Here is a 14108-nt window from a genome sequence, read left to right as displayed (position 1 = left end):
CACCTGAGGTCAAGAGTTCGAGACCAGCCTGGCCAACATGGTGAAATCCCACCCCTACTAAAAATACAAAAATTAGGTCTGGTGCAGTGGCTCATGTCTGTAATCCCAGCACTTTGGAAGGCTGAGGCAGGCAGATCATGAGGTCAGGAGTTCAAGATCAGCCTGGCCAGCATGGTGAAACCTCATCTCTACTAAAAATACAAAAAGTTAGCCGGGCATGGTGATGCGCACCTGTAATCCCAGCTACTCAGGAGGCTGAGGCAGGAGAACTGCTTGAACCTGGCAGGTGGAGGTTGCAGTGAGCCAAGATAAAGCCACTGCGCTAGCCTGGGTAACAGACTCCATCTCAAAAAATAAAAATAAAAAAAATAAAAAATAAAAAAATAAAAATAAGGCCGGGCACGGTGGCTCATGCCTGTAATCCCAGCACTTTGGGAGGCCAAGGCGGGTGGATTGCCTGAGGCCAGGAGTTGGTGACCAGCCTGGCCAACATAGTGAAACCCTATCTCTACTAAAAATACATAAAATTAGCTGGGCGTGGCAGCAGGCGCCTGTAACCCCAGCTACTCGGGAGGCTGGGGCAGGAGAATTGCTTGAACCCTGGAGATGGAGGTTGCAGTGAGCCAAGATCGCTCCATTGCACTCCAGCCTGGGCAACAAGAGCGAAACACCATCTCAAAAATAAATAAATAAATAAAAATAAAAATACAAAAATTAGCTGGGCGTGGTGGCACGCACCTGTAATCCCAGGTACACAGGAGGCCGAGGCAGGAGAATCGCATAAAGCCTGGAGACAGAGGTTGCAGTGAGCCGAGATCATGCCACTGAACTCCAGCCCGGGTGATAGAGCCAGACTCAGTCTCAAAACAAACAAACAAACAAACAAAAAGAAAATGTGCATACCTAAGGATATCCATTGCTATTTTGTCTATAATCAAAAAAGACTGGAAACAAATTAAATGTTCATCGCTAGAGAATTTGTTTTAAAAGACTATGGTACATTCCTATAAAAGAATAGAATGCAACTGTTAATAACATTTATATTGTCCTAAATGCACTGATACTGAGTGATCTCACATGAGAACTAAAAATAAAATCCTAAACCTTCCAACGGACTAAATGGACACCCTTTTGGTACAGGGGACCCCAGAGAAGCCATGATGGAACAGGAAGTCAGACACACTTGGTTATACCCTATCCCTTTCACAGTTTAGACACAACAATTGACCAGCATTAATGCTAAAATAGAGATCATAAGACTGACACAACAAATGCTTTGTGGTAATAAGATGCTTTTTTTTTTTTTTTTTTGAGACACAGTCTCTCTCTGTTGCCCAGGCTGGAGTGCAGTGGCTCGATCTCGGCTCACTGCAACCTCCACTTCCCAGGTTCAAGAGATGCTCCTGCCTCAGCCTCCTGAGTAGTTGGGATTACAGGCTGGCAACACCACGCCCGGCTAATTTTTGTATTTTGAGTAGAGATGGGGTTTCACCATGTTGGCCATGCTGGTCTCAAACTCCTGAGCTAGTGATCCTCCTGCCTCAACCTCCCAAAATGCTGGGATTACAGACGTGAGCCACCGCGTGCGACCAAGATGCCAATTATAAACAGGACATAAGGTCATACCAAGCAAGGGTTAAGTCATGCACCCCAACCCTTTAAGAATAAACTATGTTCTGGCCAGGTGTGGTGGCTCATGCCTTTAATCCCACCACTCTGGGAGGCCGAGGCAGGCAGATCACCTGATGTCAAGAGTTCGAGACCAGCCTGGCCAACGCCGTGAAACCCTGTCTCTACTAAAAATACAAAAATTAGCCAGGCGTGGTGGCGCATACCTGTAAATCCCAGCTACTTGGAGGCTGAGGTAGGAGAATGGCCGGAACCTGGGAGGCTGAGGTTGCAGTGAGCCGAGATCATGCCACTGCACTCCAGCCTGAAAGACAGAGCGAGACTCTGTCTCAAAAAAACAATAAATTGGGCCGGGCGTGGTGGCTCATGTCTGTAATCCTAGCACTTTGGGAGGCTGAGGCGGGCGGATCACGAGGTCAGGAGATCGAGACCATCCTGGCTAACATGGTGAAACCCCATCTCTACTCAAAATACAAAAACAGCCAGTCGTGGTGGCACGCACCTGTAGTCCCTCAGGAGGCTGAGGCAGGAGAATGGCATGAACCCAGGAGGTGGAGCTTGCAGTGAGCCGAGATTGTGCCACTGCACTCCAGCCTGGGCGACAGAGGGAGACTCCATCTCAAAAAAAAAAAGAAAACAAAAGAATAAATTATGTTCTGGGCTGTACACAGTGGCTCACACCTGTAATCCCAGCACAATTTCAGCACCTTGGGAGGCCAAGGCAAGGTGGGCGGATCACCTGAGGTCAGGAGTTCAAGACCAGCCTGGCCAACATGGAGAAATCCTGTCTCTACTAAAAATACAGTAATTGGCTGGGCGCAGTGGCTCACGCCTGTAATCCCAGCACTTTGGGAGGCTGAGGCGGGTGGATCACCTGAGGTCAGAAGTTGGAGATCAGCCTGACCAACGTGGTGAAACCCTGTCTCTACTAAAGACACAAAACATTAGCTGGGCATGGTGATGCGTGCCTGTAACCCCAGCTACTTGGGAGGCTAAGGCAGTAGAATCGCTTGAACCCAGGAGGCAGAGGTTGCAGTGAGCCGAGATTGTGCCATTGCACTCCAGCCTGGCTGATAGGGCAAGACTCTGTCTCAGATAAATAAATAAATAAATAAATAAATAAATAAATAAATAAATAAAATAAAAAACCAAAAAATACAAAAAATTAGCTGGGCGTGGTGGCACACACCTGTAATCCCAGCTACTTGGGAGGCTGAGGCAGGAGAATCGCTTGAACCCGGGAGGGGGAGGTTGCAGTGAGCCGAGATCACGCCATAGCACTCCAGCATGGCGACAGAGCAAGACTCTGTCTTGAGAAAAACAAAACAAAACATATAGATAGAAAAGGTACGGTAAAAATATGGTATTATAATCTTATGTGACCACCATTGTACATGTGGTTTGCCATTGACCACTGTTATGTGGTGCGTGACTGTGATTGATTATTGGGACAGACTCTGGAGGAAAGTACCTTATTTAAACGTATTAGAGAGACTCCAACCACCCCTTTCATTCTAGCCTTATCCCCTGTCTTTAATCATGTCCCAATCAGCCTTCACACTGCAGAGAGACTATTCTGAAAAACCATTTTAATTATAGAGTATAACCTCCCCGTTCCCAGTTCTTCATGACCTATAATGTAATCTCCAGTCTTCCCCCGATATTCCAGCCACTATGTAGCTCAGTTTCGTCATCTTTAAAATAGGCACAATAATGACGCCTACTTAGCAGAGTTCGGTACATAATAAATGTAAACAATAAATAGCAATTGTGATTATTATTAGAGTTTAATACTTTTGTCCTTATCACAATTTATACTTCTATCTTGTCTACAGTCTTTGTGTATTGGTTATCTCTCTCAGTAGATAGTAGGGCCCTCCACAAGGGCAGAGACCTTATGTTTCATTAAAAAATATATATGACCATGGCCGGGCACAGTGGCTCATGCCTGTAATCCCAGCACTTTGAGAGGCCGAAGTGGGTGGATCACCTGAGGTCAGGAGTTCAAGACCAGCCAGGGCAACATGGCAAAACCCCATCTCTACTAAAAATACAAAAATTAGCTGGGTATGGTGGCACGCACCAGTAATTCCAGCTACGCAAGAGGCTGAGGCACGAGAATCACTTGAACCCAGGAAGCGGAGGTTGCAGTGAGCAGAGATTGTGCCACTGCACTCTAGCCTAGGCAACAGAAGCAAGACTCTGCCTCAAAAAAAAAAAAAAAAAAATTATGGCCAGGTGCAGTGGCTCATGCCTGTAATCCCAGCACTTTGGGAGGCCAAGGTGGGTGGATCATGAGGTCAGGAGATCGAGACCATCCTGGCTAACACGGTTAAACCATGTCTCTACTAAAAATACAAAAAATTAGCTGGGCGTGGTGGCAGGCACCTGTAGTCCCAGCTACTCGGGAGGCTGAGGCAGGAGAATGGCGTGAACCCCAGAGGCGGAGCTTGCAGTGAGCCGAGATCATGCCACTGCACTCCAGCCTGGGAGACACAGTGAGACTCCGTCTCAAAAAAAAAAAATTTGTATATATTTATAAATATATATATTAATATTGTATATATATATGACCATACGTATCACATGGTCTGGCACATAGTAGGTGCTCACTAAATATTTGTTTCCCAAATGCCCTCTTAGTTGCCAAATTCCAAGTTCATTCATTCAACAAATATTTAGTGAGTCCCTACTATGTGCATCTCTATGTCAGGTGCTGGTGGAAAACAGACAAAAATCCCTGCTGTCCTTGAGTAAGAAGATTCAGGGTGAAGTGATTCTGTATTTGAACGTATTCTAACATGGTCCAGCAGTTCCAACCCTGACTGCTCAACAGAATCCCTGAGGAGCTTTCAGAAAAGTCTGAGGCCATTGTTTGAGGTGGGCCCTGGAACCTGCATTTTAATTTATTTTTGTAGAGATGGGGTCTTGCTATCTCGCTCAGGTTGATCTCAACTCCTGGCCTCAAGTCAGCCTCCCATGTCAGCCACTGAAAGGGTTGGGATTACCAGCGTGCAACACTGCAACTGGCCATGGAACCTGCATTTTTACTTTTACTTATTTTTTTTTTTTTGGAGACAGAGTCTCACTCTGTCACCCACGCTGGAGTGCAGTGGCATGATCTCAGCTCACTGCAACCTCCACCTTCCAGTTTCAAGTGATTCTTGTGCCTCAGCCTCCCGAGTAGCTGGGATTACAGGCACATGCCACCATTCCTGGCTAATTTTTGTATTTTTAGTAGAGACGGGGTCTTACCATGTTGGCCAGGCTGGTCTTGAACGCCTGACCTCAAGTGATCCACCTGTCTTGGCCTACGAAAGTGCTAGGATTTTTTTTTTACTTTTTTTTGTTACTTTTACTTTTTTTTTGAGACAGAGTCTCGCTCTGTCACACCAGGCTGGAGTGGAGTGATTATAGCTCACTGCAACCTCAAACACCCTGGCTCAATCAATCCTCCTACCTCAGCCTCCCAAGTATCTGGGACTATGCAAGCTACTCTGGAGGCTGAGGTGGAAGAATTGATTGAGCCCGGTTGGAAACTTCCTTCCTCAAAAAAAAAAAAAAAGTAGCATTTAATAGCTGGTCCAGTGTTTCCAATATTGAGCTCTACAGGATATTTGGAGGGGGAAGAGTGGAGTTGGTCACAAGTTCTAGTAATTTTTTTTTTTTTTTTTTGAGACAGTCTCGCTCCGTGGCCCAGGCTGGAGTGCAGTGGCACAATCTCAGCTCACTGCAACCTTCACCTCCTGGGTTCAAGCAATTCTCCTGCCTCCACCTCCCGAGTAGCTGGGATTACAGGTGTGTACCACCAAGCCTGGCTAATTTTTTGTACTTTAGTAGAGACAGGGTTTCAGCATGTTGTTCCCATGGTGGTCTCGAACTCCTGAGCTCAGACAATCTGCCTGCCTCGGCCTCCCAAAGTGCTAAGATTACAGGTGTGAGCCACCGTACCCGGCTCAGTTCTAGTAATTTTTAAGCTTGAGGTTTTTAATGACATGATTTAAAAACTAGATTTAAAAACCAGATTTAAAAATATTTCCTTTACCAGTTATAATTGCCCAATTTCTCTTTTGCAGTAAAATTTCCTAGTTGAAAGACTTGATTTTCTTTATCTTTTCTTTTCTTTCTTTTTTTTTTTTTGAGAGGGAGTATCGCTCTTGTTGCCCAGGCTGGAGTGCAATGATGCGATCTCGGCTCACCACAACCTCCACCTCCCGGGTTCAAGCAATTCTCCTGCCTTAGCCTCCCGAGTAGCTGGGATTACAGGCATGTGCCACCACGCCTGGTTAATTTTGTATTTTTTTTTTTAGTAGTGATAGGGTTTCTCAATGTTGGTCAGGCTGGTCTCGAACTCCCGACCTCAGGTGATCCGCCTGCCTCGTCCTCCCAAAGTGCTGGGATTATAGGCGTGAGCCGCCGCGCCTGGCCAAAACATGATTTTCTTAAATCAATGTTTCTCCCACTGGGATTCCCTGAGTGTATCCCTAGGGGACTTTGCATTATTCAGGTTTGAAGAACGTAAGAATATACTGCTTTCTATTTATTTATTTGAGATGGGTTCCCTCTATCACCCAGGCTGGCGTGCAGTGAGGTGATGATAGCTCACTGCAACCTCCAACTCCTGAGCTCAAGCAACCCTCTGCCTCTGTCTCCCAAGTAGCTAGAACTACAGGTACACATGCCACCATGTCCAGCTAATTTTTCAACTTTTTGTAGGGATGGGGTCTTGCTATGGTGCCCAGGATGGTTTTGCATTCCTGAGCTCAAGCGATCCTCCCCTCTTGGCTTCCCAAAGTGCTGGGCTGACAAGTATGCACCACCGCCTCTGGCTCATACAGCTCTCTATGGGTAAGGGTGACCCAAGTCTGCTCAAAGAGGCCTTGCCCTCCAACTTGAGGGGAACTTGGCTTCTGGCCCAGCCCTATGCCCCATGAGATTTCCTAGGAGGAAACTTTGTAAAATATTTGAAGAGATTTATTCTAAGCCAAATATGAGTGACCATGGCCCATGACACAGCCCTTGGGAGATCCTGAGAACATGTGCCCAAGGTGGTTGGGAAGCAGCTTGGTTTTATACATTTTAGAGAGACATGAGACATCAATCAAATACATTTAAGATATATTAATACAGGGCCAGGTGCAGGGGCGTATGCCTGTAATCCCAGCACTTTGGGAGGCCGAGGCGGGTGGATCAACTGAGGCAAGAGTTCGAGACCAGCCTGGCCAACATGGTGAAACCCCGTCTTTACTAAAAATACAAAAATTAGCTGGGTGTGGTGGCACATGTCTGTAATCCCAGCTACTCAGGAGGTTGAGGCACGAGAATCGTTTGGACCTGGGAGGCAGAGGTTGCAGTGAGTGGAGATCACACCACTGCACTCCAGCCTGGGCGAAGAGTGAGACCCTGTCTCAATAAATACATAAAAAGGCCAGGCGCCGTGGCTCACACCTGTAATCCCAGAACTTTGGAAGGCCGAGGTGAGTGGATCACGAGTTCAGGAGTTTGAGACCAGCCTGTCCAAGATGGTGAAACCCCGTATTTTCTACTGAATTTTGTATTTTCTACTGAAAATACAAAAATTAGCTGGGCACGGTGGCGGGCGCCTGTAATCCCAGCTACTCGGGAGGCTGAGGCAGGAGAATCGGTTGAACCCAGGAGGCGGAAGTTGCAGTGAGCGGAGATGGTGCCACTGCACTCTAGTCTGGGCGACAGAGCAAGACTCAGTCTCAAAAAAATAAACAAATAAATAAAAATAAGTAAATAAATAAATAAAAACTACATTGGTTCGGTGCAGAAAGACCGGAAACTTGAAGTGGGGGCTTCCACATTATAGGCAGATTTAAACATTTTCTGATTGGCAATGAGTTGAAATAGTTATTATCAATAGGCCTGGTGCGGTGGCACACGCCTGTAATCCAAGCATTTTGGGAGGCCGAGGCAAGTGGATTACTTGAGCTCAGGAGTTTGAGATGAGAGTGGACAACATGGCGAAACCCTGTGTCTACAAAAAAAATGGAAAAATTAGCCAGGCATGGTGGTGCCCGCCTGTAGTCCCAGTTACTCAGGAGGCTAAGGTAGGAGGATAGCTTGAGCCTGAAAGACAGAGGTTGCAGCGAACCAAGAACTCATCACTGGACTCCAGCCTGGGCAACAGAGTTAGACCCTGTCTCAAAAAAAAAAAAGTTATTATCAATAGAAATGAATGTCTGGGTTATGATAAGGGATTGTGGACACCAAAGTTTTATCACGCACGTGAAGCCTCCAAGTGGCAGGTGGGCTCCAGAGAGAACAGATTGTAAATGTTTCTTACCAGTCTTAAGGTCTGTTGTGTTGATGTCAATGCTGAAGGATGTAATGAGGCATGTCTCATGTCCTGCTTCCCGTCATGGCCTGAACCAGTCTCTCAGGTTGGTTACATTTTAGACTGCCCTGGCCTAGGAGGAAGTCCGTTCAGATGGTTTGGTGTTGGGGGGGGGGTGGGGGCTTAGTTTTTTGTTTTGTTTTGTTTTGTTTTTTTGGCTTACAGAGTTTAGACTGAAGCCTTTGACTCTGTATCTGGCATTTCCTTAGACCACATGCTGTAGGGCTGGGCTCATGAAGGTTCTCACCTACACACCAGGTTGCTCCCTTGAGAAGGGGGACTTTGCTGGATCCTATAACCTAGCTAGTAGGAAGTAAAGGAGCTTGGGAACCAGACAAGCCTGAGTTTAAATCCTCTTTCCCGCGCCGCCCCACCTCCACTGATAGGTGTGTGACTCCGGGCAAATAAGTGATCGTTTTCTGTGCCTCAGTTTCCTCATCTGAAAAGTGGAGCTAGTAAGAACTCACAGTGGTTGCTACGAGGCTACGGTTAAGGGAAGACTTCTCCTGCACACCTCAAGCACAGTTTCCCTCCCCTTGGCGATATCCAAGAGCACTCACATCCGCCACAGCCCTCTCTGCTCATCGGGCCCTCGGGGTAGAAGTGAGTTAATTCCTGGCTAAATGTTAGTCTCAAACCACCGGGAAAACCACCCAGTTGCCCCAGACAGTGCAGCGGAGGGTGGGTGCGGCTATCAGGTCGACGCTAGAGACGCGGCGAAGGCGGGTGCGGAGGCCTAGCTCCCCCGAGCGCATTCCACCCTCCACAGAACCTCGGCCTGTGACCACGGCCTTTCTCAACACTGCGCCGCCCCCTGGCCGCCCCTCGCCATCCCGCCGCGCTGACGTGAGTGCGCGCGCGTCCGCCGCGCCCGCCCCGGCGCATGCGCGCTCTGCGCTGTCTTCTCCCGGCCTGAGCAGCAGCAGCTGCGGCGGCGGCGGCGTTTGAGTGGAGGAAGATGGCGGCTCCGGGCGGCTCGGGGTCCCGCCAGCTGTGAGGAGCCCCGAGCACGGCTGTCGCGGCCTGAGGCAGAGCGCCTCTGCTCTGGCCCTGTCCCTGGCTCCCTCATTACCGTCGCCAGCGGAGCGAACCCGAGAGCGTGGAGCGGGCTGGGCCAGGTGAGGCCTCTCCTCCTCCCCGGGCCGCAGAGGGGAGCCGGCGCCTTCTGCCCTTTATGCCCGGGACTGGCAAGGGGCAGCGGGCGCCCGGGGTCTGACGCAGGCCCCGTATCCCACGCGGGGGTCGGTCCTGGTTGGGCAGGGTGACTTGCTATCGCCGTCCTCGAGTGAGGCGAGGAGGAGGACAGCTCCTTTCCAGCCAGCCCTTGGGTTGGGAGCGAACCCACCCCCTCTCCTCAGCAGGGTGGTTCTCGTCCCCTCACCCGGGCAGTGAAGGGGTGTGTGGCCCGGGCAAGGATGGCTTTAGGGTGTCAGGTAATCTTTCATCGCTCCTCCGAACATTTCACTCCTTTGCGAGAGAGGAGTCGGGGGTCGGGTGCCCATCAAAATTGGGGCTGCGGCTGGGGGCTAGCATCTCTGAACCTGCAGCTGCAAAGGGATAATTTTGGAATTGGTTTACGTTAAATAAAACACAAAAGGCCTTTCCTATCCCCTAGCTTGTTGAGTGTTCCCTTAGAGAAATGGGAACTGCGGATCTCCTTGCTTGAGACAGCAATCCATGCTGTGACTGTGGAAGGCTTCTCTTGGCGAGAATTGTGTGTGCAAAGGGAACGGTGGAGGGTGGGAACGAATTTGTAAGCGAAGAGAAAACGATTGTGAGATCTTGATGGTCGCTGCAGAGTAACTTCAGCGCTGAGTTCGTTTGAAACCTTCGGTTTGTTAAGATTCAGAATAACCAATTGCTTTGTCTGTTAAATCTCCCGATTTCTGTTAGGAAAATAAAAGCCTCATTTCTTAATTGCCAGAGTCTGGATTTTTCTGTGGTGGGATTCTGATCGATCTAGATGAAGATTCTGACACATTACCAGTTTTACTTGCTGGCAGTTGCTGGCCCCGACGTTGAAACTATGTTGTTCCTTTTTGAGAACAACTTTTATTGCTGTTTAAATGCTAATTGGGAGACTTCGATTGTGTTTCTGTCATGTAGGGAAGTCGGTTTGAAGCCTTGTGGTCTCTTTCTTGAGGAATGATGGCTTCACTGAACTTGTGCTATGCAGAATTGTTGAGGCGATTGCTTTTGCTTGGACACACCAAAATATCTTTTGTAACAAATTGGCTTTACTTCTGCTTAAGAATGATGACATCATGGATTTAAAGAGGCAAGGAAAATTTGGGGGAAGTACCATCATTTAGAATTGAATATTTAGAATTAAGTCTGTATATCTTATGGCCATTAGTGATGCTGTGTTAAATTGCTAACTTTGAGTGTATTCACGTGTGTAATCTGATTGGGTGTCTTTTCTATTGTATGTTGTCATTTTATACCCAGTAACTGTTTGCTTTTGACAAGCCAGTATAAATAGATGATTCAATCTACATTGATCCATAGGCATGTTGCGTATCTTAAAAAGCTTTTCATTGTTAAAATGACAACTGTTTAGGTTATTATTTGACCATTTTCTTTCTTTCTTTCTTTCTTTCTTTCTTTCTTTCTTTTTTTTTTTTTTTTTGCAGTTTCTCACTCTGTCATCCAGGCTGGAGTGCAGTAGCACAGTCTCGGCTCTCTGCAATCTCCATCCCCTGGGTTTAAGCGATTCTCCTGCCTCAGCTTCCTGAGTAGCTGGGATTACAGGTGTGCGCCACCACGCCCGCTAATTTTTTTTTTTTTTTTTTTTTTTTTGTAATTTTAGTAGAGACGGGGTTTCACCGATGTTGCCCAGGCTGATCTCAAACTCCTGGTCTCAAGCGATACCCTGCCCCACCCCAGGCTTGAGCCACCGTGCCCAGCCTCCTTTTCTATTTTTAAATCAAAGACTTTTCCATAGAAATTTGTCGATTTTCTTAGTGTCTTTGCTAAAGATGTAAATCTGAACCAGCAGCTTCTCTGTGGTAGAAAATTGGAGAGCTACTTTGCATATCAATTTGCTAATAAAGAGTCATGAAATTAATGCAGTAAAACATCCTGGTGGCTCATCATTATGCTTCTTGGCATAATATGTTGCACTGTTATGCTAAATCATCATCAGGTATTGATGCAACTTCATGACATCCATGACATCATTTGCTCTCCAGATTTTGACCTTTGCAATTCCTTACCTTAGTTACAAAAAGAACAGGATCAGAAAAAAAATAGCTTAGGATGCTTCTTCTTGTCTGATTTCTAGAGGGGTCTTTAATAACAGCTTTATGTGGTTTAAACCCTGAGTAAGATTCAGAGCAGGGTGAGTCCTACCTATTATGGAGAGCAAGCAAAGAAAATGCTAACAAAACGTCTGAGTTTTATGAGAACACTGAGGTCCCAGGGAGAAGCTATCTCAAAGATGAACAAATACGTAATTATCTTTGTGATTTCAGAATTGTTTTAGTCAATGAATTAACTCTTTTTGTTTGTTTTTTGAGACATAGTTTTGCTCTTGTTTCCCAGGCTGGAGTGCAATGATCTCGGCTCACTGCAACCTCCACCTCTCCGGTTCAGGCGATTCTCCTGCCTCAGCTTCCTGAGTAACTGGGATTGCAGGTGCCTGCCATCATGCCCAGCTAATTTTTTGTATTTTTAGTAGAGACAAGGTTTCACTATGTTGGCCAGGCTGGTCTTGAACTCCTGACCGCAGGCGATCCACCTGCCTTGGCCTCCCAAAGTGCTGGGATTACAGGCTTGAGCCACTGCGCCCGGCCCTGAATTAACTCTTTATAAAACCAGAAGCCATTTGATTAAATAAAGCCCTTCCCACGATTGTTAATGTGGATCAGAAAAGATAGTGTTCGTGAAAGTGCTTTGTAAAATGTAAAATAAAAGGTAAATGTAAAATTGATTATTCCTATTTATGAACCACCTACTGAGGGCCCTCCATATGGCGGGTGTTTTGGGAAGTAGGTACTAATTTAAGACAGCTTTTGGTCTGAAGTTGCATATAGTATGGCTGGGGAGCCAGACAAGGAAACCCGTTAAGTGCTATGTAGTGTTAAGAAGTGCACTGAATCCAACCAAGAGAGTCAAGGAAGGCTTCTTGGAGCAGGGATGGCTTTTCCCCAACCTTTCCTATTATTCTGCAGAGTCTGCCTTTAGTGAGTGACTTGCTTTTTATAAAAACTTGAAAAAAAATTCTGTCATGGGTTCTTTTCCCCTTTTATTCATTCACTGTCATGACAGTTCCCACACAGTATGCCCCAGTTATGGCTTCTGCATTCTCAAAAATCCAGCAGTCTTGGGAAAACCTTTCTATATGAGTCATATACACAGGCAACAAACACAAACATTGCAGCTGCAATTAAAATATCTCAGATTACTAAGTGGTGACAACTTTAGAGTGATGATGCTTTTTTGTTTTTGTTTTGTAAACTAGTACAAGAGGCACTGTGTTTTTAATTTGATGACAATTAATACAGTAAATATTTAATTGTTATTCCTTACAATGTTGATTATAGGTGGTTATTAGTACTGTCTCCTTTTTCCCAACAATAAATAAAATGAGAAGATCTTAATTCCTTTTTGATTGAAGCTGACCGCTTAAGTGAGAATTACACTAAACTTTCTTTTTCTTTTTTATTTTTTTGAGACCAAGTCTTGCTCTATCGCCTAGGCTGGAGTGCAGTGGCGCAATCTCTGCTCACTGTAACCTCTACCTCCCGGGTTCCAGCGATTCTCCTGCCTCAGCCTCCCGAGTAGCTGGGAGTACAGGCACCCGCCCCACGCCCGGCTAATTTTTGTAGTTTTTTTTTAGTAGAGGTGGGATTTCACCATATTGGCCAGGCTGGTCTCGAACTCCTGACCATGTGATCCGCCCACCTTTGCCTCCCAAAGTGCTGGGATTACAGGCTTCAGCCACCGCTCCCGACGAATTACACTAAACTTTTATAGAATCTATGTGGATTGGTGTTGCTAGTAGCTTTGATATTGAACTTCTGTATCCCAGTACAAGTTATTTACCTTAGTGCTGTAGTTGTTGTACAATTAATTTAGCGTGTTGTTGCCTATATTGCAAAAACTTCGAATTTTTGGATTGAGTGAAATTTTTATGTGGCACTGTATTATTGAACATATACCATCTGTATCTTAACTGAAAATGAGTGATCTAAAGTTGCGGCTGATGGAAAAGTGAAGGTGATGTGTTCAGTTTTCTATAATGTGACAGCTTGCTACATGTACAAGGATATGACTTACAGACAAGTCATTTAAAAATTGTCCAGCATTAAGCTTATAATATAGCTTATGACTTATAGGCAAGTCTTTCTTTTCTTTTTTTCTTTTTTTTTTTTTTTTTGAGACGGAGTCTCGGGTCTGTCGCCAGGCTAGATAGAGTGCAGTGGCGCGATCTCGGCTCACTGCAAGCTCCACCTCCCAGGTTCACGCCATTCTCCTGCCTCAGCCTCCCGAGTAGCTGAGACTACAGGCGCCCACTACCACAGCTGGCTAATTTTTTGTATTTTTAGTAAAGACAGGGTTTCACTGTGTTAGCCAGGATTGTCTCGATTTCCAGACCTCGTGATCTGCCCGCCTCGGCCTCCCAAAGTGTGGGGATTACAGGCGTGAGCCACTGTGCCTGCCTAATTTTTGTATTTTTAGTAAAGATGGGGTTTCAACATGTTGGCCAAGCTGGTCTGGAGCTCCTGATCTCAGGTGATCCGCTGGCCTTGGCCTCCCAAAGTGCTGGGATTACAGGCGTGAGCCACAGTGCCCTGCCTGAAATTTCTACTTTTTAATTTGTAAAGTTGTTTGTTTGTTTGTTTGTTTGTTTGTTTTGAGAGGAAGTCTCTCTCTGTTGCCTAGGCTGGAGGGCAGTGGCGCCATCTTGGCTCACTGCAACCTTTGCTTCTGGGTTCAAGTGATTCTCCTGCCTCAGCCTCCTGAGTAACTGGTATTACAGGTGCACACCACCATGCCTGGCTAATTTTGTATTTTTAGTAGACACGGGGTTTCACCATGTTGGCCAGGCTACTCTCGAACTCCTGTCTTCAAGTGATCCACCTGCCTCAGCCTCCCAAAGTGCTAGGATTACAGG

General features: G+C 46.4%; 1 protein-coding gene across 5 annotated transcripts in view, besides 2 other annotated features; it reads left to right on the top strand.

The window, feature by feature from the left end:
• Positions 684–900: a silencer, noted in NCBI's record as "fragment chr1:16686958-16687174 (GRCh37/hg19 assembly coordinates)". NCBI's record gives its function as "represses an EF-1alpha promoter that drives an FKBP-Casp9 reporter gene in an ReSE screen in K562 erythroleukemia cells {active_cell/tissue: K562}" and the evidence as "EXISTENCE:reporter gene assay evidence [ECO:0000049][PMID:32094911]".
• Positions 8844–9618: an enhancer, noted in NCBI's record as "H3K27ac hESC enhancer chr1:16678240-16679014 (GRCh37/hg19 assembly coordinates)". NCBI's record gives its function as "activates a minimal SCP1, AML or CMV promoter by ChIP-STARR-seq in primed H9 embryonic stem cells {active_cell/tissue: H9 hESC(primed)}" and the evidence as "EXISTENCE:reporter gene assay evidence [ECO:0000049][PMID:30033119]".
• Positions 8883–14108, top strand: part of FBXO42 (F-box protein 42) — a 105641-nt gene continuing 100415 nt past the window's right edge. For all 5 annotated transcript variants that reach the window (NM_018994.3, XM_047422747.1, XM_047422750.1 and 2 more), the window contains exon 1: positions 8883–9108. The gene's annotated coding sequence lies outside the window, so the exon portion shown is untranslated. The remainder of the gene's footprint in view (positions 9109–14108) is intronic.

The sequence above is a fragment of the Homo sapiens genome, chromosome 1 (genome assembly GCF_000001405.40).
Source record: "Homo sapiens chromosome 1, GRCh38.p14 Primary Assembly".
Lineage (NCBI taxonomy): Eukaryota > Metazoa > Chordata > Mammalia > Primates > Hominidae > Homo > Homo sapiens.
The sequence above is the reverse complement of the archived record's forward strand: the minus strand, read 5'-3'. Positions and strand labels throughout refer to the sequence as shown.